The sequence below is a fragment of the Homo sapiens genome, chromosome 5 (assembly GCF_000001405.40).
Source record: "Homo sapiens chromosome 5, GRCh38.p14 Primary Assembly".
Lineage (NCBI taxonomy): Eukaryota > Metazoa > Chordata > Mammalia > Primates > Hominidae > Homo > Homo sapiens.
This window is the reverse complement of record NC_000005.10, coordinates 38,192,439-38,217,064: the sequence shown is the minus strand read 5'-3', so window position 1 is coordinate 38,217,064 and position 24,626 is coordinate 38,192,439. Positions and strand designations below refer to the sequence as shown.

Sequence of the window (24,626 nt, the reverse complement as noted above, 5' to 3'; positions counted from 1 at the left end):
CAGATGGCACCCAAATTCTGATGCTATAATGAAGCACATCTGACTGGAAGACAGAGGTCATATAAAGTCAACCCTTTGCTGGAGAAAGAGCAAGACAATATAGTCTACAGCAAGCTTGTCCATCCCACAGGCTGCATGTGACCCAGGACGGCTTTGAATGCAGCCCAACACAAATTGAGAAACTTTCTTAAAACATTATGAGAGTGCAATTTTTTTTTAAAGCTCATCGGCTATCATTCGTGTTAGCGTATTTTATATGTGGCCCAAGACAATTCTTCTTCCAATGTGGCCCGGGTAAGTTAAAAGAATGAACACCCGAGGCCTACAGAAACGGACACTTCACTGGGAGATAAGGTACCAGGGTTCTAAGATGGGCTCTTCTGCTGCCTGGGAGATCTTCCGCAAGCCTTTTAATTTATCTAGGTATCAATATTCTCACCTATAAATAAGTTTAATGAATTCAAGTTTTCTTTTAGGTCCAAGTTTAGAAGTTACTACCATTTTAGACCTAATATTTATTTTTGCATTTCTGATTCATCTCGTAGAGGAAACTAAATGTGTTTTCTGAACTCATGGGTACTACAGGAAATCACTTTCCAATGAATTGAAAAATGTTTTGTTCATTTCATTTTCATTTGCTGCTGAGAATTCTGTGTTCCTCATGCCCCAAAATGCTTCACATTGACATAGTACAGCTGTGTACACGACACCATCATCTTACATGACATCTTTCCTATAAACCATGCCTCTAAGCCCTTTACAGAGCTTCTGTAAGTAATACAATTAAAGAATCATAGAAACAGGGGAGAAAGGATGTTGAGAAACATACAAGGAAGAAAAGATAGAAAATGTGAATTTTTTTCACATTTTTCATACGCATATTGGTATAAAGAAATCCTCCTCCCACTAGAGAATAATGTGGGCTAAAAATCCCACCTGCCTAGGGCTTCAGATGTGATGTGACTTCTCTTTGCTATTGAATGTATTTTGAGTTCAAACAACTGAGGCAAAAACCGATTAATTTGAATGTCCACATTTTCAAATGGATATAGTGGCTGTTCCAAAAATTTTAAGCTTAGAAACACGGATAGCATTTAGGTTTCTAACTCTCAAACCAGAACACATCAAAGTAATACTGGTGGGTCAGGGAAATGAATTTCTGTAATAAAAACCTTGCCTCAAACCAGAGGTGTACTGGATATGAGAATTTTCAATACAGTTAATAATTACTAAGGAATTAGATAAACCAAGCACAGGTGTTAAGATGACATGCCAAAATTTTGGGCACAAGAAGCTCACATGTCTTGATGGTCTGGATGCTGGAAATGTCCTCTGTCCTTAGACATCCGTCCAGAGAGAGATGACCAAGTTTATGCTGTTGCTGATACTCACGAATCCTTAGGATCATGAATAATTTGTGTAAATAAATTATTTTAAATTATAATTATAACATAATTGTATGTATGTAATTTATTGTCATTATTGTGACTTAATGTAGATAATAAATAGTAAATTCATGGTGTGTATTTATAGAGTTGCCACCTCTTTTATCAACATGCTTGAGCTAAGTTTGCTAAAAAAGAAACAGATATTATTTTCTTTTATTATTATCAACTGAATATTTGTGTCCTCCCAAAATTCATATAAAAATCCTAACCACCCAATGTGATGGTCTCGGGAGCTGGGTCCTTTCAGAGGTAATTAGGTCATGAGAGTGGAGCCGTCATGAATGGGATTTGTGTCCTTGTAAGAAGGGTCAGGAGAGGATTCTTTTTCTATCCCTGCTCTCCAGCCTCTGGAGAGGCAACAAGAACATGGCCTTCACAAAGAACCCAATCAGGCTGGTGTCCTGCTTTTGGAATTCCAACCTCTAGAACTGTGAGAAATAAGTTTCTATTGTTTAACTCACCCAGTAGTCTATGACAATTTGTTATAGCATTCTGAACTGTCTAAGACAGTGATTGTAAAATAAATATATGCTCAAAGTCAAAGAAAATAAAGAAAAGCACACTGGGAGAAATGACATCACTTAGCCCACCTAACCTTCTCTCCTCTAAACTCCTGTGATGTGTAAACGGTGTGTCCCATTCCTTTGGGCACCTGGAAATATACCGTCCTGACTCTTGAGGCTTGTCCCAGGAGGACCGCTTCTCATCTGGCTCTGCCCAACAAAGCAAGGGGTTCTGACACTTTTCAAAACTCCTTATCCTATTCTAGCACCAGAGCCTTCTTTGGCTCCAATACACGACATGAGCTCAAAGCCATACTCCATCTCCTGTCACCCATTAGCTTCTTGGGAGTCCCCACATCCCCCGGCTTGACCTCAGACGATTTAGCTTTGGAAACTTGGCCCATGCCTTGTAAAACTTAGTCAATCTCCATGGCATCAGAGGTGACATGCTCACAAAAGTTTAGGGACCAAGAAGGCCACCACTTTTTACAACTCCCAGAAGCACATTCATGCTGTATTTATATGAGGAAAGCCCTCGCAGTCACAACAGGAGTGGATGGTACCTTAGGAGCTGGGCAACATGGCAGCCTGGTGGCCAGCATTCTCAGAGAAGGATTGCGTGGGCCTGGCAGAGTGCTCACTCAGGCTTGCTGTTGCTGTTGGTAGCAGGGGCCACACCTCACACAGTCACGTGCCACATTTCCTGCTCAGATGCAGACCCTCTTCCGTGGTGGCTGACACTCAGCTTTGTCTTTGCTGGTCATGCAAAAGGCCACTCATACCTTAGCTTGACCCACAGCTCATCTTAAAACAGACCCTAATTGCCCATTCTGGAACGATGTGAAATAATCTCCAACTTGCAAAATAATTCCAGCCAATGCCTACATGTAGTGAAAGTGTCAATCTGAGCCAGAGGACCATGTTACACATCAGATGTCCTGCACTTAAATTGAAGCATGCAGTCTGAAAGTATTCTGATGAAAAATGCAAAGGGATAAAAGTACATGGCTTATGTACTCCTCATGCTTATTATTAAAATAATTCCTATTGCCCCTTTATTTGTGCCAAGTTGATTTTTTTACTATTGACTGGACAAAAAATGATGATATGCCCAACCTCTTTCTTTTAGTTTTTTAAACTAAAAACTCACACCAATCCTAGGTATGACTGACATTTAAAGTTGTGTTAAAGTGATTAACATTTCTTTCTGCTCCCTCCTCATTCTCTTTTCTCTATCAGTCCTCCCTTGACCCTAGGCACCTTGTCTTTATTTTTTTTTAAACTTTTATTTCCGGTTCAGGGGTACATGTGCAGGATGTGTAGGTTTGTTACACAGGTAAACGTGTGTCACACAGGTTTGTTGTACCAATTATTTCATCACCTAGGTATTAAGCCTAGTATCCATTAGCTACTTTTCCTCATCCTCCTCCCCCTTCCCACCCTACACGCGCTGATAGGCCTCAGTGTGTGTTTTTCCCCTTTATGTATCCATGTATTCTCATTATTTAGCTCCCACTTATAAGACAGAACATGCAGTATCTGGTTTTCTGTTCTTGCATTAGTTTGCTAAGAATCATGGCCTTCAGCTAAATCCATGTCCCTGCAAAGGACATTATCTCATTCATTTTTATGGCTGCATAGTAGTCCATGGTATGTATGTACCATATTTTCTTTATCCAGTCTATCATTGATGGGCATTTGGGTTGATTCCGTGTATTTGTTTTTGTGAATAGTGCTGCAGTGAACATTTGTGTGCATGTGTCTTTATAACAGAATGATTTATATTACTTTGGGTATACACCCAGTAATGAGATTGCTGGGTTATTTTTTGACTTTTTAATAACAGCCATTCTGAAAACTGGTGTGAGATGGTATCTCATTGTGGTTTTGATTTCCATTTCTGTAATGATCAGTGACGTTGAACTTTTTTTCATATGCTTTTTGGCCACACGTATGTCTTCTTTTGAAAGGTATTTGCTCATGTCTTTAAATAACCCCTGGAACCTTGAACCCCAGCTGTTTTGGGTTCTTCACTTCCAGGAAATCTCGGTCTATGAGACTTTTCCTTTCCAAAATGTATCTTTCTTAGGCCCTATTCATTTACCTTCCAATAAATAATACCTGATGCATTGGTTTTTATTTATGATTACTAATAACTTAATGTACTACCCTTCCTAAAATCATACACCTGCATGCAAGTGCATTCATAGACATTTAAATAAGATCCATTAGAACCTTAACCCAAAGGAATCAGCAGGGATGAAATGTTAAAATAGCCACAAGTGCAGATATTTGGGAATAAGATTGCCTAAAACTATAACTGAAATAACAACAGGTTAAACTGGATTGTTACTGTCTTCACTCAAAAAAAGCCTTGTCCATCTCCTCACCTCTCCTCTGTATCCTAATTAAATATGCTAGATATGACTAACAGGGTCACCTATCACTTCTTCCTCTGCACATCATGGGGTAACATCTTCCCATGACAAAAACAAATAGGTTCCCACCTTTGAGGAAGAAGAGGTCTTTGTATTCTTAAAACTCTAGAATTTGAACAGTACCAGAATCTCAGTGGATATCTTATTAGTCAGGATAGGCTAGCTGGTGCTTCAGTAACAAATAGCCCCAAATCTTACTGGCTTTTTAAAAAAGGTATGTTTAATGTTTATGCACCATGAGGTTTCAATTGGGAGTTCTGCTCTGCATTGCTCATACTCTGAGACCCAGCTGACAGAGCTCCCACTTTCTGGAACATTTCTGGTTGCCATAGTGGAAGGAAAGATGAGTAAAGAGAATGGGGGATGTGTGCATCCTGGCCATTAAAGTTTGGTCAGAAGTTACATGTATCACTTCCTCTAAAACTTTATTCCCCAAAGCAAGCCCCATGGCCACATTTACCTACAAGTGGATTTGGACACAAAATTCAACCACATGCCTGTAAGAACAGAATCAGAATATTTATGAAAAGCCCAAGTAATTATAATTTAGAGTATCTAGAAGATAACCCAACATGAAAACAAAGCAAAACTCTTGTGGTCCTATAGTGAAGGTGGTGGTTTGACTATGTCTTTTCACAATCCAGCAGGTTTGTGAATTTAGAGTACCACACACTATTATTTCACAGTAAAATGCCAAGAGCAAAACCTGGCATTTAACAAGAGTCATTATTACTATTACTATTATAATTATTGCTATTACTACAGAATTATTATTGTGATAAGTGGGAAAAGACATCGAGGGGTATGAAATGATTACCTAAGAACACACAGCTAATTAGGAACACAGTGAAGATGAGAACACACATTTATTGAATCCAAGATGGGAGTATTTTTCTCTCAACTCATCCCAATGCATAGGAAAGACATAATCAAACCCATTGGATTGTGAAAAGACATAGTCAAACCACTGCCTTCAATATAGGGCCACAAACGTTTTGCTTTGTTTTCATGTTGGGTTATCTTCTAGAGCAGTGTTCAGCAAACTCTTTCTGTAAAGGATCAGACAGTAAATATTTTTGGCTTTGCAGACCATATGGTTTCTGTCACGACTAATCAACTATGCCGTTGCAGCACAAAAACAGCTACAGATAATATCTAAACAAATAGGCACAACTGTGTTCCACTACAACGTTCTTTACAAAAACACACAGCAGAATGGATTTGGCCAGCGAGCTGTTTGCCAGCCTCTGTTCTCGAGCATCCTCCAGTGGGGAAACACTACTTAAGGGAAAGTCTAAGAAGAAGGGAAACAAAGAAACCTTAGTGTGCCCCGGTTTCCTCTAGAGTCAAAAGCCCACCTTGTAGGGTGATGGTGAAGATTGAACAAGCTGATACATGCAATGCACTTAGAGGAGTGCCCGGCACCTGGTAAGCCCCCCAGTCACCTCCATGAATGGTGATTTCCCCTCACTGAGCGTCAGCCACTGTCCTAGGTGCTGGAGGTTCAATTGCAAACAGAACAAAGCTCCTGCTCTCCTGGAACTGATATACTGATCCAGCAAGTCAGACAAAGAAACAAATAGACATGTAAGCTATCAGGAGGTGATAAGGGCTGAAAAGGAAAATCATGCAGGGTTAAAGGTTGGCTAGGGGAGATGAGTTTAGGAAGTTTTATGTAGGGTGGGTCAGGGAAGAGATTTTGAGCTGAAGACTTCACGAAGGGAGGAAGACAGTTATGCAGGTGTGGGGAAGCATGTTGCAGCACACGTGCAAAGTCCCTGAGGCCAGAGCCTGCAGGCAGATCCTGGGGTGAGGCGGGTGTGGTCCCAGCAGCGCAGGGTGGAGGAAGTGATTCCTGAGGAAGATAAAGTGGAGAGTTGAAAAGAATCTGAAGAGGACAGGGATGTGCCTTGGCAGGGACTTTGGATCTAATTCTGCATGAGTTGAGAAACATTATTCGTATCATTTACTATAATAATAATTATTATTCTGTGCCATCAGTGCTCTTTTTTCTTTTGCTCACTGATTCTTCACTTTTCCACCTTCCTACTCCTTTCTCACTCCTCCCCCTTTCCTCCTCTCTTTCTACATCTCTGCCTCCTGCTCTGTGCTCCTGCAAGATCCTCTTTTTGCCATTTTGTAATCCTTCTTCTTTTGGGTGACACATAGCTCTGTTGGCAGCACCTGAAACCAAGGACGTCACTGTCCCTGGGAATAATGGAAGGGGAAGCTTGGCCCAGCTCAGGGCTTTCCAGAAGGATTTAACTTAATTCCTCAGACACTGGGCATCAGACAGAAAAGGCTTAGGGAGAACAAGATGAGAATTAAAGCAAAAATCATCAAGAATATTTTGTTATTACATTTTAAAAAGATCCTAAAACATTTAAAGACATATGCAAGTTGTATTGGGTTGGTGTGAATGTAGTCAGAGAGATATGCATACATAATCAATTCTTTTTACGCTTTTTGCAGTGTGAGTTTGTGAGTGGGTGTATGTTTATCCCAGGATTCAGAGAATAACAAATTTTTGATTACCAGGACTAATGGATGTGACACAAATATCCCAAGTAGCTGAATATTAAACAGTGATTTTTGCAGACGTATTTGCAAGATAAGCTGTTGTGTTTTAATTAAACAAATATATGTGTATATGATGGTGAATCTGTGGGTATATATACCATAGAGAGAGGGGGAAATGGAAGGTGGGAGGGAAAGAGAAAGGGAGAAGGAGGGAGAGGGAGAAAGAGGGAGAGGATATGCACAATATGACCTGAAATCCTGCTGTGCTCACCAGTTTGTGGCAGCATCTGTCCATAGGAAAGGACTTTAAAAAAATTGTGATGGGAACACTTAACGTGAGATACATCCTGTTAATAAACATGTAAGCATATCATGCATGAGTGTTGATTACAGGTACAATATCATGCAGCAGATCTTTAGAGCATGTTCATCTTGCTTGACTGAAACCTACACCAGTTGTCCCCCTCTCCCCTCTCCCACAGCCCCACCATTCCATTCTCTGATTCTATAGAATTGATTATTTTAGATACTTCATTGATGTAAATCCAGGAAGCACTTTTTTTAATTTATAGGAAAATCACCTGTGGGCCAGTGGCTCTTGTGTATCTTCTCAAACTCTAATGTGATATGAACCACCAGTGGAATCTTATTTAAGTGCGGATTTTGATCCGGTGGGCCAGGAGCAGATCCTAAAATTCTGTGTTTCTAATAAGCTCCCAGGTTTGGCCTACAATACAGTCCCATGGGCCATAGTTGGGTAGTATAGTGGGATTTTTAATGTAACAGTAAGCTCAAAAGCTTTAGTTACATTAAATATCTATTTTATTGCATTAAATGGCAACATTTATAATAATACAACTAGGCCAGAGGTGGGCAGATATATCATTTCTGGAAGAGGACCTCTGGAATTTCTAAAAAGAAGAAGATTTGGTGGAAGTTTCCAAGGTAAAGTTATTTGATTTGGAAAAATGTGAAATATATGGGGAAAGATTCCAAATGTGTTTCCAGTGTTGGCTGAGGTGTCCAGATGTTTGGAACCCAAATAGACACTGATAAATTCTGCCAGGTTGGGCCCCCTGGTCTGAGCAAGGTGTGAGGCCTGTTTGCAAACCTATCTGACAAAGCCGTGCTGGGAACTGACTCAGGGCAGGACCCAGTAGCTTGTTAGAGCTTGTTGGCTTTGGGTGCCATCTTGTGGCAAGAAGCAACAAAAATTTTTAAAATCCAGAAACAATCAAAGGTTCTCACCTATGCATGATGTTGTGTTAGGTACTGTAATTAAGAACAATAAAAATATTACATATCTAAATTGTATAGTTGAGACCCTTGCTAAATTCAACACACTTTGCTTTAGCCAACATTGTATGTCTACTCTTGTCTGCTGTGTGGCCATGGGCAGATTGCTTGATGTTGCAAGATCTTGAGTACTAAATCCGTAAAATGGGAGTAATTAAACTACCTCATGAAATTGTGGTGAATATCCCACCCGTGGAAGATGCTTAGCCCCAGTGACTGATACGAGCTCAAAAGGAAGGGAGAAAAAGTGGTAGCAATGATTATTAATGGTTGTAGTAGAAAAATAACAATTATTAGAAAAAACATAATATTTTATTATTTCCTTTTTAAAACAAGGAAAATAAGATCTAGAAGTCAAGTGATTTATCCAAGGTAATAAATCCAGTGTCAGATCTAGATGTCAAATATAGGTCTTTCTACTTGAGACAGTGGAACCTTAATTACAAGGTCGTCTTCATTGTATGCGTTAGTCTGATAAGCTAAAAGGAAAGTTATGTAAGTCGGCTTTCACTAGGCTATGCGCAGTAACAAGTCACCCCAATACTTCAGTGGCATACACCACACAAAGATTTACTTCTTGCTTGTGTTACATGAACTTTGCAAGTGGTCTGAGCCATGAATGCTCCTGTCAGGTCTTGCTAGGTGAATACAATTTTGGGAGGAAGGGCCAAGGGAGGTATTAATAATAATGTTCTATGGTGTGTATGTCAACATCTTAAACCCCTTCAAAGTCTGAAAGAAATCTTCTGAGGTCCTACAGTCAGTCCATTTCCAGTGCGCCCCTTCTACAGGTGGGAAAGGAGGCCAAGGGAGGTATTAATAATAATGTTCTATGGTGTGTATGTCAACATCTTAAACCCCTTCAAAGTCTGAAAGAAATCTTCTGAGGTCCTACAGTCCATTTCCAATGTGTTCCTTCTACAGGTGGGAAAGAGGCTCAAAGTAGACAAGCGGCAGCCTCAAGGTTATGAAAAGAGACAGATCATGCCCTGGGAAGTGCTCCCCTGTGAGAAGTAAAGAGTATTATCTTGGTGCCCCATTACCATGAGCCACTCCCATGCCTGCTTTCCTTTCTACCTCACTGTCTCAGCCTCAAGAAAGGGACCCTTATACCATCAGTTTATTAAAGTGAAGGTTTTATCCAAGGGTGCTGGCTATTAGTGGCTTTAAATGCAGCAGTTCCTGTCCCAGGACTGGGGATGTGGCAATTTAAATTTAATGATCCCAATGCTTCATCCTGCCCCATAGTCACATCCTTTGTTAGGTAACTTTGCAGTTTCTCCTGCTGGAAGCAAAGTGTACTCCACTCTTTGACTTTGGGCTTGGCCATGTGACTTGCTTTGCCCAGTGAAATGTTAGAAGGTGTGATGCAATCAAAGGCCTGAATTGCACCTGCAGGGTTCAACTTTTATCCTCTCTATGAGAAGAAGATGCTCCTAGAATCCTACTAATCCAAGGATGAGGGGAGATAGACTCATGGGACAGACCTGGAATCAACCAGCAGCTTAGAGTCCAGCCCAGTCCAGCCTGGATCAGCCACCCCTTGGCTGACCTGCCACTGTGTGGGAAAAAAAAAAGTTTATTTATGCGACTGAGTTTTGAGGTTATTCGTCATAGAGCATTTTTATGGCAATAGCTTACTATTCGGGGGTATCCTTTCAAAACTCATTATGCTTGCTCTCTTGTCATTTAACTTCCTCCTAAAAATAGAGCACCACAAAAGTTGTAGATAATTGAGGACTCAGTTAATAGCTTCTGCTTATCAAAGCTTTGTGATGGCATGTCACCATTTCCAACAAAAAATTCACAAGCCTTGTAAGAAGAGAAAAATTTTGCATGCATGTTCTAAATCTCTGACAAAAAATGTTAGAAGGGAGAGATTAATTGTTACTCAGAGTTTTGGTTTGTCATTTTTATTTTCCATCATACAGTAGCTGTAAAAGACGAATGAGACAAAGAGGAGCAGAAAAGTGAGAGTATGAGGAAAAGGAAGAAATCTAGGGGAAAAAGAAGAGAGAGGAGATGGGGAAGAGGGTGGATGCTACTGGGAGGGAAAATAAGAAAAGGGTAAAGGAAGCCATGGCAGAAAGGGAAAGAGGCCGAGAGTTCTCATGGAAAATCCAGGGAGTTGGAATGGGGAGAATGATGGTGGGTAGAGACTTCTCTCCACTCCATGGACACACACAAGCACACACATGTACATCACCCATACACATATCTGTTAGGCAAACAAGATGCATATATAACATAAAAACTAAATTTCTAAACTGTATTTCACAATTTATGTAGCTGATTTCATGTACTTCTATATGAGGGTTCTTCAAAAAGTTTGTAGAAAATGGGATGAAAAGATAAAAATTAAAAAGATAAGCTTTATTTCCCAACATAAGCTCCATCAAGGTCAAGACACTTTTGTAAGCAATGATACCAGCCATTTAGTCCATCCCCAAGAGTCCTTGGGACTGAGAGTCCTTGGGACTTAACCATATCAATGCAATTTTTTTTTATGTTAAAAACTCAAGAAAAGTAGGTGGCCTTTAAAGGTTTTTCAGGACTAGGAAACAGAAAGAAGTTAGAAGGAGGTAAATCAGAAATGCAAGGTGGATGCCTAAGGATTTCCCATTGAAACTCTTGCAAAGTTGCCCTTATTGACAAGAGGGGAGAGCAGGAGCATTGTCATCGTGGAGAAGGACTCTCTGGTGAAGTTTTCATAGGTATTTTTCCGCTAAAGCTTTGGCTAACTACTTTCTCAAAACACCTTTTTTTTTTTTAGACAAAGTCTTGCTCTGTCACCAGGCTGGAATGCAGTGGCACAATCTCGGCTCACTGCAACCTTCACCTCCTAGGTTCAAGTGATTCCCCTGCCTCAGCATCCCGAGTAGCTGGGACTACAGGCATGCGCCACCATGCCAGACTAATTTTTTGTATTCTAGTAGAGACAGGGTTTCATCATGTTGGCCAGATGATTTCCTGACCTCCTGATCTGCCCACCTCGGCCTCCCAAAGTGCTGGGATCAAAACACTCTTATAATAGGCAGATGTTACTTCTCTTTGGCCCTCCAGAAAGTCAACAAGCAAACTACCTTGAGCATCCCCAAAATCTGTTGGCATGATCTTTGCTCTTTGATGCTTTTTCTTTGACTGGACCCCTTCCACCTGTTGGAATCCACTGCTTTGATTGTGCTTTGTCTTCAGGACCATACTGCTGAAGCTGTGTTTCATCTCCTGTTACAATTCTTCAAAGAAATGCTTCGGGACCTTGATGCCACTCACTTAAGCTTTACATTAAAAGCTCTGCTCTTGTCTGCAGCTGATCTGATCTGGGTATGTGGTTTTGACACCAATCAAGTGGAAAGTTAGCTCAACTTTAATTTTTTAGACAGACTTGTGTAAGCTGAACCAACTGACATGTCCATGGTGTTGGCTATTGTTTGTGTTGTCAACACTGCCAGTCCTCTTCAATTAGAGCATAAACACAATGAATTTTTTCCTTGTGAATTGATGTGAATGGTCTGGTGCTGTGGGCTTCATCTTCAATATCATCTTGTCCCTTCTTACAGCAAGTTATCCACTTGTGAACTGCTAGTTTCTTTGGGGAATTATTCCCACAAACTTTTCACACAGTATCAGTTATTTCATTATTCTTTCACCCAAGTTCCAGCACAAGTGTAATGTTTCTTCTTGCTTTATTTTAGCAGGAATCATGTGGCTCTGATAGAGAGTCTTTTCAAATTGGTGTCTTATGCTTCTTAGTACCTCAAACTAGATCCCCTTTAGACATGTTATGACAAGTTACTGGAAGCTTATTTTGGTGCAAAAAAAAAATTAAATCCATGCATAATTTTAAATTTTTCCATGAACTTTTTGAAGACCTCTTGTATTTCGTGTTGCAGTACACTTCAAACAGTTATAATTGCCCACCTTGGGATGTTATGTTGGGACTTGGCAGGTTATAACATGAGGAGTATGGGCTCCTACTCACTGCTTCCCCACTGCCAACACTGGTGATACTGAAAAGTGACTACTGAGATGAAAGGTGATGAGAATAGGAACGGTAGGATGGGAGAAGAGGGAAAGCAGAAAGCAGGAGAAAGAGGGGCCAGGGCAGTCACAAGAGAGTTAGGGAATGATGCTGTCCCACCAGCTGCCTTGCTCTCCTAGTTGCCAATCCAGGTTCAGTACACCCCCAACCCAGTGTCCCAGACCCATGGTTGGGCTGGACTTCCTTCTGCAGGTGAGTCTGGGAGCTTTCCATGGGTTTACAGAGAGCTGGCTAGATGGCATGACCATCTTTTTCTCTATCATGTCTGAACCTTGTTTGCAAGATCTTGGTTTGCCTATCCTACCTCTGTCCTTTTACTCACTCCTATTTTTCTGTCAAGAAGTCTCCAGCTCTGAAACCCTAGGCATGACTGTACCCACAGACATCCTGTAAGGGCATGGGAAGGTCAGGGTAACAGATTGCCTCAAAGCCCTCTCCATGGGTTTTCCCTTGGAGATAGCCCATTCATGGCACTAGAATAATGCTCATCAAAGTTGTGTGGCCCAGAGACATCACTTTCATTCTTTTAATTTTCAATATGCTTCCCCGAGTGAAGGAGCGAAGGAGAGACAAACAGGTCAAGGCTGGGAGTCATGCACAAACAAACCTGAGCACACCCTACGGGGATCACCTACCATATAAATCTGATATGAACAAAAAAAGGGTGAGCATCTTATTTGTAATGTATCTTCTGCCCCTAGGCAAACTAAGTTCAGTACCTTCCAGATACTATGTACCCATGTACCCAACTCTGAAAGTTCCTAGAAGAAAGAGAGCCCATGCTATTCCTCAATGGTACAAGTCTTTAAATTCTTTATTTTGTCTAGACAAATTCAGTTAGATGTTTTTGAGATCAGTCTTATCTTTCAGTCATCACTAGGGTAGGTGGCTGGTTTTGTTGGAATCCTCCTTCCTCCTCTCCCTTCAATTTCTCCACTATTGGTGATCACTGTTGAATATTGGTGTTATCACTGTGTAGCTCTTTGATGTTGGGAAAGTTGCTTTACCTCTCTGATTCCATTTCCTCATCCTTAAAATGAGGCAGAAAATAGTACCTACTTCATGGGATGGTTGCAATAATTAAATAACTAACAAACTAAGGGCCTAGAACAATCTTTAGCATAACATGTGTTCAAGAAATATTAGCCATTATTATTAACTCATTAGGCTAGTAAAACAAATTAAATAACAATAACAACAGTAAAACTACCAATGGTTAAGGATTTATTATGCACCAACCAGTATTGTAAGTATTTTGCCCAACATTAAAGAAACAAAATAAGGGAGTGGTTAAGAGTGGTTAAAGTTCTGGAGCCAAAACTGATCAGAAAATTAGATCAGATAAAATTAGATAAGCAAATCAATTGTGTTAAACTCAGGAATATGTGATTTAAAAACCAAATGGAAATGAAAAAAATAACTTATTGCTGGTGGAATTTAGACATCAACTGCAGTGCAAGGTAAGTGGTATGGTGCAGGGAATGACATTTATGCCTGGACCTTTCCAGTACCCTTCAAATAACACCTCGTATAGCTGGCCATGGAACAATTCTTTTTTCTACCCAAATGTAAGATGAGCTTGCTGGGGCTATATTTTCAGGTGTTTGGGGTCCAATGCAGAAGAGTGATAGAATAAGGCTCCCCTCTAAACCAGGGCACACATGTCGCTGTTAGTCTCCTAGCCTGGAAAGGACATCTGCTTCTACAACATCAGCCCCTGAGACAAGAACTGACACCAGTGAAAACCAGAATAATAATCAGGTGGAGAAAAGTAATAACTTGAGCCTTGCTGGGGCTGGATTCAATTTATGCCTGCAGCGTTTCAGTTTTGAGTCACTAAACCTTGGTCAGAGTCTTGGGAGAAAAAGACAGTACAATTCCGAGAAGCCATCAAAAAGTGACTGCCAAGTTATTGGGAGGTTCCATGGTGCGTTTCTAAACCAGCACTAATCTAATAAATGTACGTGCAATGAACTGTGAAATTGAAAACATGACTGCCCATATTCTCTAAGCCAAGGGAATAAAATGGTCATTTTCCCCTTTATTTCATATGAAAAAGGAATCAGAGATAATCTGTGATTTTGGACTTTTGTACAAAACAGGGAAGTCTGCATGTCTAATGGCATTTATTAGCAGTGAGAAAAGAATTAGTGAATTATAATTCTTGGCTGACCAGAACCCCAGCTTCAAGCAAAAGGTAAGGTGAGTGCTGGACTTTTGAGTTAGAAGGTCTGGGGTAGGAACCCAGCTCTGCCATTTAAGACTGTGTGAAGTGAGGGCATTCATTTCTATTTTACATTCTCAATGTGAGGTTTAAATAAGATAATGTTTGTGAAAATGCTTTATTAAATTGGAAAGCATCATTTTAAGTGGATGAATGAGTGAGTGTGGGAAATAGGATGTGCAAATATTTTCATTGCTCTTTGGGAAATCATTGAATAAAACATTTTCTGCAATTCACCCACAGTTATTTTTGTTTTACTTCTGATTTAATCTATTACAGCATAGAAAACAAACAGAATTTTTGAAAGCTGAAGACATTGTTAAGACTGTGGGTTTCCATTTGAAACGTCAATTCAAATCAACCCACATGTGCTGAGAATATCAACTGAGTTTTTGGGACTGAGCTAGTTGCTGAAGAAAACACAACCATTATGAAGATGCAGTGACTGCTTTCAATGTGTTCATAATGTAATGGAAGTTGGGCAGGACAAAATAAGTGAATTTCATACAAAATGGAGTTACAAATGCCAAAAAACTCTAAAAATGTCAAATAATTGTAAATAGTTAATAGATTACCTCTAGATGGGAGCTCGGATAAGACTTCATGGAGGAAAAGGCATTAGGGATGTGCTTTAAAGGAAAGGGTCATGCATTGTTCAGGATTCAATCAAGAAAACAAGCTAAATACTTCTAACATGAAGGATTTAATTCCAGGAATTAGTTACAAAAACAATGACTGGGCAAAGAAAGCAAAACCTGAAGGGCTCTGGGTTGCCTAACCCAGAGATGAGTATCTGAAGGAAGATATTCCCATCCCTACAAATGCAGAAACAAAGATAAGGTGGTTCCATCCACAGCCAGGAGCTCATTCCGTGGCACTTCCAGGAATGCCACCCAGCTATTTGGGACTGCCAAAGAGGGGCTGCCACTGGGGACACTCCTGGAACCACAGAGCACTGTCTTGGAACCGCAGCACTGGAGCACCCCTGATGGGCAGCATTGGATGACAGCACTAGTTTGCCAGGCGGGGCATGGTGTGGCTAGTGCTGGGACCAGGAAGAAGGCTCCATGCTGTATCTGCCAAAGACCAGCACATAGAGTCTACTGATACCTGCTAGTAGAAATGAGAAACAAGGGAAAGAAAGAGAAATTAAGGAGAAGGAAGGAAGGAAGGAAGGAAGGAAGGAAGGAAAGAAAGAAAGAGAAAGAGAGAGGAAGAAGAAAAAAGAAGAAAGAGAAAGAAAGAAATGAGAAAAATAAAGAAAGAGAAAAAGAGGAGAGCATGAGTAGTCTGCATAGACAAGTCATGCTGCAGTGATAAACAATGGATGTTTCTTTCTCATTCACTGTGCATGGGACTGTTCACCTCTGCTTCATGACATCTTTACTCTGGGACACAGGTGGATGGAGCAGCCTCTTTCTGGAGCATTGTTGGTCTCATGACAGGAAACCATATGCTGGCTCAAGAGCTGCTGCTTGAAAGTGACACACATTACTTCCACTCACACTTACATTTTATTGGCCAAAGCAAGTCACATGGCCTTCCATGGGCTTAACAGGGCGTGCATGTGTAATCCTCAGGCAAAGAGGGACACTAAAATTGGTGGGGAGCCACCCAATCTACCACAACTAGAGAGTCCCTTGAGCCTCTGCCATTACTTTACTTTCTCCACTGAGAAGTAAGCTCCTTTTGGTCAAAAGCATTATGATGTGGAAGATCATGAGTTACTCAGTATGCCCATTGATGGTGACACTGGTAGATGCAAGTTTGTTCAGAATCTATCAAGAGGAGCAAATGCAAATTCAGAAAATCTTATATTCCAGTGAAGACAATCACTAGCTCCTCCATCTTAGAAAGGGCTTGGTGTAATCTACCTGGACAGACAGAGGGTTGATCCCTTCAGGGAGTCCCTACATAGCCTCCATGCCTGTTGCCATAGTTACAAGTTCAGGAACTGATTAAACAAGCATTGAGGTGGTGGGGGAAGGACCCACCTTGGCATGAAGTCCTTTTGTGACCATCATCACGGGAGACAAGTACTCTCACATTCCAGGCCCAATTCAGGAGACACATACCCAACCTCATTGTTACCAACCTACCAACAACATGTCAAGTCTCAATCTGGACAAATTATTAACTGCTGCTTGTGAATTGGTTTGTCATAATTCAAGCTCTCTCTTCTTCCAGGCAAAATGAATGACATGGTTATGTACAGCCTTAAGTTTTGCTCCCAGAAAGATTTTCCTTCCCTATTGTCCTTCAGGGCCACACCAAGTGGGGTTTTAAAGCCACAACAATCTCTATATAACCAGGACCTGCACATCATGTGCACCAGCTCTAAACCAATGATTCATGTTTCTGTGGTGGCCTGTTCTTAGCAAACTCCCCATGACATCAGAGGTGTGAGCTGAGGGTCATGTAGATTCCAGCAAGCTGGCAGTGTGAGCTGCCCACTTCTGCAAATTCCTTGTGCCTTCAGAAGCTGCTCAGGCCTAGTCCCATATCTACCACTTGCATTTGATGGTGGAACACTGATGGGTACATCTGACTTTGTGGTTAGTTGGATCAAATAACAGTTGATGATAGGCAGCCACGTTACATGGCCACCTGACGTTTCGTGCCCACACTGCTGGGCACAACTGACTTTATGATTAGTTGGATCAAATAACACAGTTAGTTCACGATAAGCAACCAGGTTACATGGCCACTTGATGTTTTGTCGTCAGGGGTTCACTTTCTACTAAGGCTCCGTAGCAAGTCCTCAAAAGAAAATAGTTGTTGATTGAAATAGAATAGCTTTGCTCAAAGACTCTCAGGGCCTTTGCTGTGATCTCCTGTTGGGGGTTGCAATAGGCTCCTCACAGAAACTCAAACTGCTGCAAATACTTCAAGATCCACTGGACTCCTGAATCAGAAAGTTGAGTGGTACTGCTAGATCAGATGGAGAACTGTCTCTTGTTTGGGTATCTTACACTAAGTTAAATTAGCTAAAAGTGATTCAGAGCAGCACAATGCAAATATAACTCACACCCCACTCAAAATCCAAAGAGGCGTGCCTAGCTTTTTGCCTCTTGGTAGGAGGTGTCGGGTACAGGGATGTGCCTTCACCCAGGAGGAGATATATTGACATGCCCTAGCCCATTGAATTTCCCAAGCAAATTGAAGTAAAAAGACCTTGTATTTGGGGAGGAGGATTATTCCTCTACTCTCTAGGTCCTGAATCTTACCACACCTAATTATGCTTAAAATAACCTATAATAATGCTTGAAGGTCATTTGTCTTCTGCATATCCCTATGCAGGGTTAAATAGGAGTTACAAGTATAATAATTGCAAAAGGAGTAGCTAGCATTTGTTTTGTGATTATCATTTTCATCGTGCATGTATTAACTCATTTAATCATCACGATAGCTCTACGAGATAAACAATATTACTATCCTTATTTTGAAGGGTCACCATCCCTGCACCTTCCTTTTCTTTTTCTTTTCTTTCTTTTTTTTTTTTTTTGAGACGGAGTCTCACTCTGTCGCCCAGGCTGGAGTGCAGCAGTGCCATCTCAGCTCACTGTAAGCTCCGCCTCCTGGGTTTTCGCCATTCTCCTGCCTCAGCCTCCCGAGTAGCTGGGACTACAGGCGCCCGCCACCATGCCCAGCTAATTTTTTTATTTTTAGTAGAGACGGGGTTTCACTGTGTCAGCCAGGATGGTCTCGATCTCCTGCCCTCGTGAAGCGCCTGCCTCGGACTCCCAAAGTGCTGGGATTACAGGCGTGAGCCACCGCGCCTGGCCTGCACCTTCCAATTAGCACTAATCTGCATGGGTACATTCCTCCTTCCCCCACTTCCCAGAAACGTTTGCTTTCTTTCTTTTTTTTTTTTTTTTTAATATTTTGGTAGAGCCCTCCAGCCATTTTCTTTGGGTCCTTCCTGCCATGAAATATCTTTCTTCACAAGTGAGGATTCTTCTAACTGTTAAATATTGATTTTAACTATATGCCTAGGGACTGGTGAAACAACCAGGTATGATGGGGATCTCATGAAGCCATATTTGAAGTGGATTTGGGCAAAACGTCACTAATCTCATGGTCTCCATAAGCCCCTTCTCCAATCTCTAACAATTTGTTAGTTTAGAGTCAATGTCAAAATAATCTTTCCCTGGTACTCAGTTACCATGGTAAGTGGTCTTCAGTTATCTTTGGAAAACTAGGAGGAAGGACCGATTCTTGTCCTTGAGGTATTATGGCAGTCCTACCTTGGTGTTCCAACTTCTTTATGTACTGCCCAGGGCCCTATCTGTCGTCACTTTCTGCCATAGTGGCTTAGCTTCCATCAGACACATGGTCACATAATCTGGAAGTTATGTGTTTATTTAATATCTCATGGGATGAAGTTACTGATAATTTTCAAATTAGGCATCAGGGCCTGAAAGTGAAGTTTCCCATTTAGTTCTTCAGTTTAGTTTATCAAAATACTTTAAAGTAGGAGATTTTTGTTTTACCACCAGGTTTCCAACAGGACAGACTTTTCCATACTGGTCAGTGTACGGGGACACTTGACTCCAATACAGTATTTTATTTACTACTCTGCTAACAGGAGGGTCATCCATTCTAAACTACCTTTGGATTCCTTTTTCATCAATAGTGAAGAAACCTCTAAGACTGTGGCCTGAGTTCTCCAGATACATCACCATAGCACTTTAAGATCTGATGGATAAAATCTGAAAGAAATGAAATTTTCCCCGGGCTCCAGTCCTCTTTGTTTGCGAGGGGTGGGACTTCATACTAAATGGGTAAACTGTGAATCAGCAAGGCATGGATCACTTCAGTGTTTAGTGGTCTAAGTTCTCAATTTTGTCACTAAAATTGATTATTTTAGTTGGACACATACATGTAAAATCAAGGAAAAAATAGACATTTTCCACATTACCCATTTAAATTGAGCACTTTAAGTTCTCCATTGATCACAGCTGCTCCTCCTCAGTAATTTGAATTTTGGTTTTGCTGAAGTGCAGGTAGGGTCAAGTATGAACTGATGCCTCTCAGTGTTTAATCATCTGCCCATGTGAAAGTGGCACTGCTATCCACAGTCCTCAAGCCTCTCATTTCCTCATGGAGGTCAGAGATTGAGAGGGTGGTGGCTGCTTTAGTGTTCTTCTTTCTTGGCCATGAGTTTATACTACACAAATTTTGGCAAATCCACAGCCTCTCACCCTGAGAGTTCTTTTTAGCTATGCAAATCCAGTAGGAACTTGATGAATTACTCATATACCCATGGACCTTCAGGATCGCTTAGCTTCTGCCAAAGATCCTTGATAGCTAAATTATTCGCATTACCGAGTCAACTCTGCTGCCTACCACAGTAAATACACCCCCATTGTCTCTGCTGGATAAGTGCTTCTCCTCTGCCCCCATCACTTCCCAACCAGCTCCCCAACCCCACTGGAAACAGAGAACCTGTTTCAACTGTAGCACCTTCTGCTAGCATACCCAGCCTACCCCAAACAGCCACGAAAGCACTGTTCAAAGATGGCAGGTCTCCTCTCCAGTGTTATTGCCAAAGGCCTTAGCAAAGGCCTTTTTGGGTCCTCTCCAGAAACTCAGAGGGATAGGTCCTGGTCAAACAGGCTACATTCACTCCAGCATTCCCATCTCTCAAGATTTTTTGACTTCTTTTTCTACTTAATGTTAAGAAATTGATCTCATAATATCACTTAGTGGCTTCAATCTATTCACCAAGCCAACAACTGAGATCACTTTCAAATGCTGGAACTAAAGTCACTGGTAGGTGCACCTGTACTGGTAAGTCCGGTCCAGGCTAAAATCATGCCCTTCCCTCTTTGGCCAGGCAACCTGGGAAAACATTCTTTTTTTTTTGAGACAGAGTCTTACTCTGTTGCCCAGGCTGGAGTGCAGTGGCGACGAGATCTCAGTTCACTGCAGCCTCCACCTCTCAGGCTCAAGCGATTCTCGTGCCTCAGCTTCTGAAGTAACTGGGATTGCAGGGGTGCGCCACCACACCTGGGTAGTTTTTATATTTTTAGTAGAGACAAGGTTTCATCATTTTAGCCAGGCTGGTCTTGACTCCCGGCCTGAAGTGATCTGCCTGCCTCGGCCTTCCAAAGTGCTGGGATTACAGGCATGAGCCACTGCACCCGGCCTGAGAACACATTCTTATGTGACTCCCTAGATTGTTGCAGATAAAATGAGAAAAGTACCACAATTTTCTGTTTTGTTTCAGTACATAAGCATTTATCAACATTCATCTTTATAAGTGAACCCCAAGGGCATTGCTAGTCCTGGGACAGAGGAACTTCACCATCTTTTGTTTGTTTTTCTAACCCTGACTATACCTCTGTAAATATTCTCTTCACTGAAGTCTCTCGAGTTAAATACTCTGCGTGTGTCTTCTGATACTGTGTCACTTTCCCAAAACTCAGAATCTTGAGTAGAGTTTTTGACTGGCTGAGCCCGGTTTATTTGCTTACATGCTGGTATCCACCGAGTAAAGAGAAGGACTGTGAGTTTCTGCCTTTCACCAAGACTCACTCATGGAGATTTCTCTGAAACAGAAAAGATGTCCCACAAGGATCGGTAGTTTTTAAAAAGACAAATGTCCATTATACTGGGATTGACAAGTAATTCTACTTGGACAGAAAGGAGGATATACATAGGGGCAGTGGAAGGAAATTGGGCTACAAAAGCAAATGAGAACTTTATTAATTCAGAAGGGCTTAAATGCCAGCCAAAGAAAGATATCTCATGAGATGGGAAATGGGCTGCCACTAACAGTCTTGAGTAGAAAAATGACATGTAATCTGTGCTTAAGCAAGATCCATCAGGTACAAGAGTGACAATAAATCACAGGAAGGAGAGAATGTTACTTTCTCCATTGAATTGTAAGCCTCACAGGGGCAGGGCCTTGTGGACTTGTTTAATGTTTCTCTTCCTGGTGACTAGCCCAGTGCCTGGCAAGTAGTGGATATGCAATCAGTGCTTGTGATGGAGAGCAAAGAGGCAAGGATGAATTAGGAGGCTACTCAAAGTTAGCCCCCGTGAGAAATAATGAAGCCTGAATGAGAGGGTAGAAAAATAACATATATTTAACATTCACCCTATACCAGGCATTTAATCTATATTATCTGATTGATCTCACAATTACTTTTACGAGGTACATATTTGTTTCAATTTTACAGATGAGGCTCGAATAAATTAAGGGAAAAAGTCCACATTCAGATATGCAATAAATAATGGAGCTGGGATTTGAACCCATGTCTGGCTCTGAAACTCCCCCTTGTCCAGGACATCATGCCAGGAGGGAGTCAGGACAGGGGGAGGTCAAGAAGGCACAGAGGTAGGAGAGAATCGCAGCTGGCCAGGTCCATTTGGTGGGACAGAGCATGAGGCAAAGTGGAGGAGTTTGGGGCTTTGAGCTGGAATCCCAAGGAGAATTGTGATGACGTTAAAAGAAATAAAGCATTCAAGGGGACTTTCAGGGATGGGATGCTTGGGTCAGATCTGGACATGCTGCTTGCGGGTCCTGGGGGGACATCTAGATGGAGCTACCCATCAGGCAGTTGGAAACGCCAATCCAGATCCCAGGACAGAGGCAGCAGTAAGGAAGCAGACTTGCAAGTGCCCCATGTTGAGGCGATTATTTGAAGCAGTGAGCATAGATGAGAAAAAGTTAGCCAAGGTCGTGATATAAATGTACCTGGTCCAAGCATGGTATGCAGGATATCTGAATATGCACAGATCCTAAGGTATGTCCTGAAAGTAGGTCCGCTTTACTGAATCTTCTGATCAGCAGTTTTCTTGAGGTTTTCACATTTACTTAAGTAGAGTGTGTTGGCAGGGGGTGAAAAATACACACAAGAGCCCTGATCAATGAAAGTTTTGCTGTGGGTGTGACCTATGTCCTGTAACTTGCTCAAACTTCTCAGAGAGGGAAACTTTAAATATCCAAGTTAAGAACTACGAATGCTGACAATTCTCTGTCTGGGAGCTGAAGATCCAACCTTTAGAGGCCATGACTCCTCAGGTCACGTACCTGTTACAAGGGGCTTGATATGGTTTGGCTCTGTGTCCCCACCCAAATCTCATCTCAAATTGTAATCCAAGGAGGGACCCAGTAGGAGGTGATTGGATCATGGGGGAGGTTTCCTCCACGGTGTTCTTGTGATCATGAGTGAGTTCTCATGAGATTTGTTTAAAAGTAGCACTTCCCTATTTGCTCTCTTGCCCTATCCTGCCACCAGGTAAGACGTGCCTTGCTTCCCCTTCACCTCCAGCCATGATTGTAAATTTCCTCTCTCTGTCTCCCTCTCCTGCCGCCAAGTAAGATGTGACTTGCTTCCCCTTCACCTCCTGCCATGATTGTAAGTTTCCTGAGGCCTTCCCAACCATGTGGAACTCTGAGTCAATTAAACCTCTTTCCTTTATAAATTACCCAATCTCAGGTGTTCTTTATAGCAGTGTGAGAACTAATACTTGGCTTCAGCTGGTTAATCCCCAGGGACAGTTTTCAGGATTAGATTTTCGTGGCAGTGTTTCCTCTCCCTTCTACTCCCCTCCCCATAAAGATTTAGTGGGCAGGACTGACTTGTCTGAAGGGGTCCTCTTGGCTGGGGGCCTTCGAAGAAGCCAGATTGTCCCCTTAAGAGTAGTCACTACTATAAGCCCAAAAATCTTGGGTCCCTGTAATGTGCTATGTGCTATGTCTCCGGCTGACTTGCACTGCAGCCTAGTCAGAGATGGCCACCTTTGTCTTTCTACAGCAAATCAGAAAGGGACACAAAATTTCTATTTGAACATAGATAATTCAAAACAGCTGAACTTTTTTAAATGAAGAATCTTTTTGCATGCAACGTTCGATAGTGGAAGAATACCCTGATTAACTTAGGAAACTATTTTACCCTAACTTAGTTATGAACGACCAAAAATGTGCCTTTACATCTGTTTAGGATGACATTTTGGGCATCTAGTACTACATTACAATCTCCATGAGACAATAAACACATAGACTTGTTATTTGATAGTTGCATAATTGTGGTTTTCTTCTGCTTGTTCTCAGAGGTGGAGAGCTGCCTGTTTGCTTTTTATTCCTCTTTTTTTTTTTTCCAGGAGAAAAAAACAAATGTAAAACACACCAAACCAGAGGGAAAGAAATAGTCAATATGCCGCTGCTGCATGTAAGCTGCAAGTTTATTTGCCTGTTTACTCTCTTTGAAATACCTGTGAAGTGCTTTGCCGGCGGGTTCTCGTCCACATCCTCTGAGTGGCAATGCTCATTCACGACCAGCAGAGGGCAGGCACGACCTCCTAATACACCGGGAAGGCCATTTTGCCAGCACCAGGAATAAAGGCGCCCTTGCCATCTGTAACCTCAACCATCTCTCTCAACCACTGTAGACCTAATTGCCATGATAAAAACAGATCTGTATGAGCTTTGTAGTCACACGGTCTTGGTTAAATCGCAGCTCTGCCACGTATTAGCTGTGTGACCTTCAACAACCTACATAACCTCTCTGAGCGCGTTTCTTCCTCATTTCTAAAGTGGGACTATTAATAATACCTACTTCATAGGCTTCTTGTGAACATTTAATCAGTTAATATATGCAAGGCACTCAGAACAGAGCCTAGCACATGGTAACCTATTATATTTATTGTTATTACTAATAGTATTGCATTAAACTCTTTCATTCTCTCTCTCAGGACTCCAACTAAAGTGTCCAAGGAGAAGGGACACCACTCAAGAGGAAGGAAGAAAAAGGCTTTGGTGAGTCTCAGGCCACCCCAGGAATCTCTGGGTGATGGAGAAGGGAGCTACAGAGATGTCTCTGCTCCAGCAGAAGAACAGAAAGATGGTTCTAACCTGGGGTGAGAGACACCAAATGAGCTAAGCTTTCCTGTTTCATTCTTTCCCTAAAGGCAGTAAGACCTGAGCTTGGGCGGTGGGAAGGTCCGCAGACATCTGGTACAAGAAGGGCTCCAGGCAAGCAAAGAGCTGTTCCTCCCAGCTGCATTCAAGCATGGTGCAATTAGCTGCAGCCTGGGGGATCGTCACGAACCTGGCCACCTGGGCACCTCTCCTCAACATCTGGGTGAAGGACAAAGGGAAGGCACAAGCTCCGAAAAAGAGGCCTTGGAGGTTATTTTACAACA

The 24,626-nt window shown here is 41.7% G+C and overlaps 1 pseudogene; it reads right to left on the bottom strand.

The window, feature by feature from the left end:
- Positions 18,920-19,448, bottom strand: PRDX4P2 (peroxiredoxin 4 pseudogene 2; annotated as a pseudogene).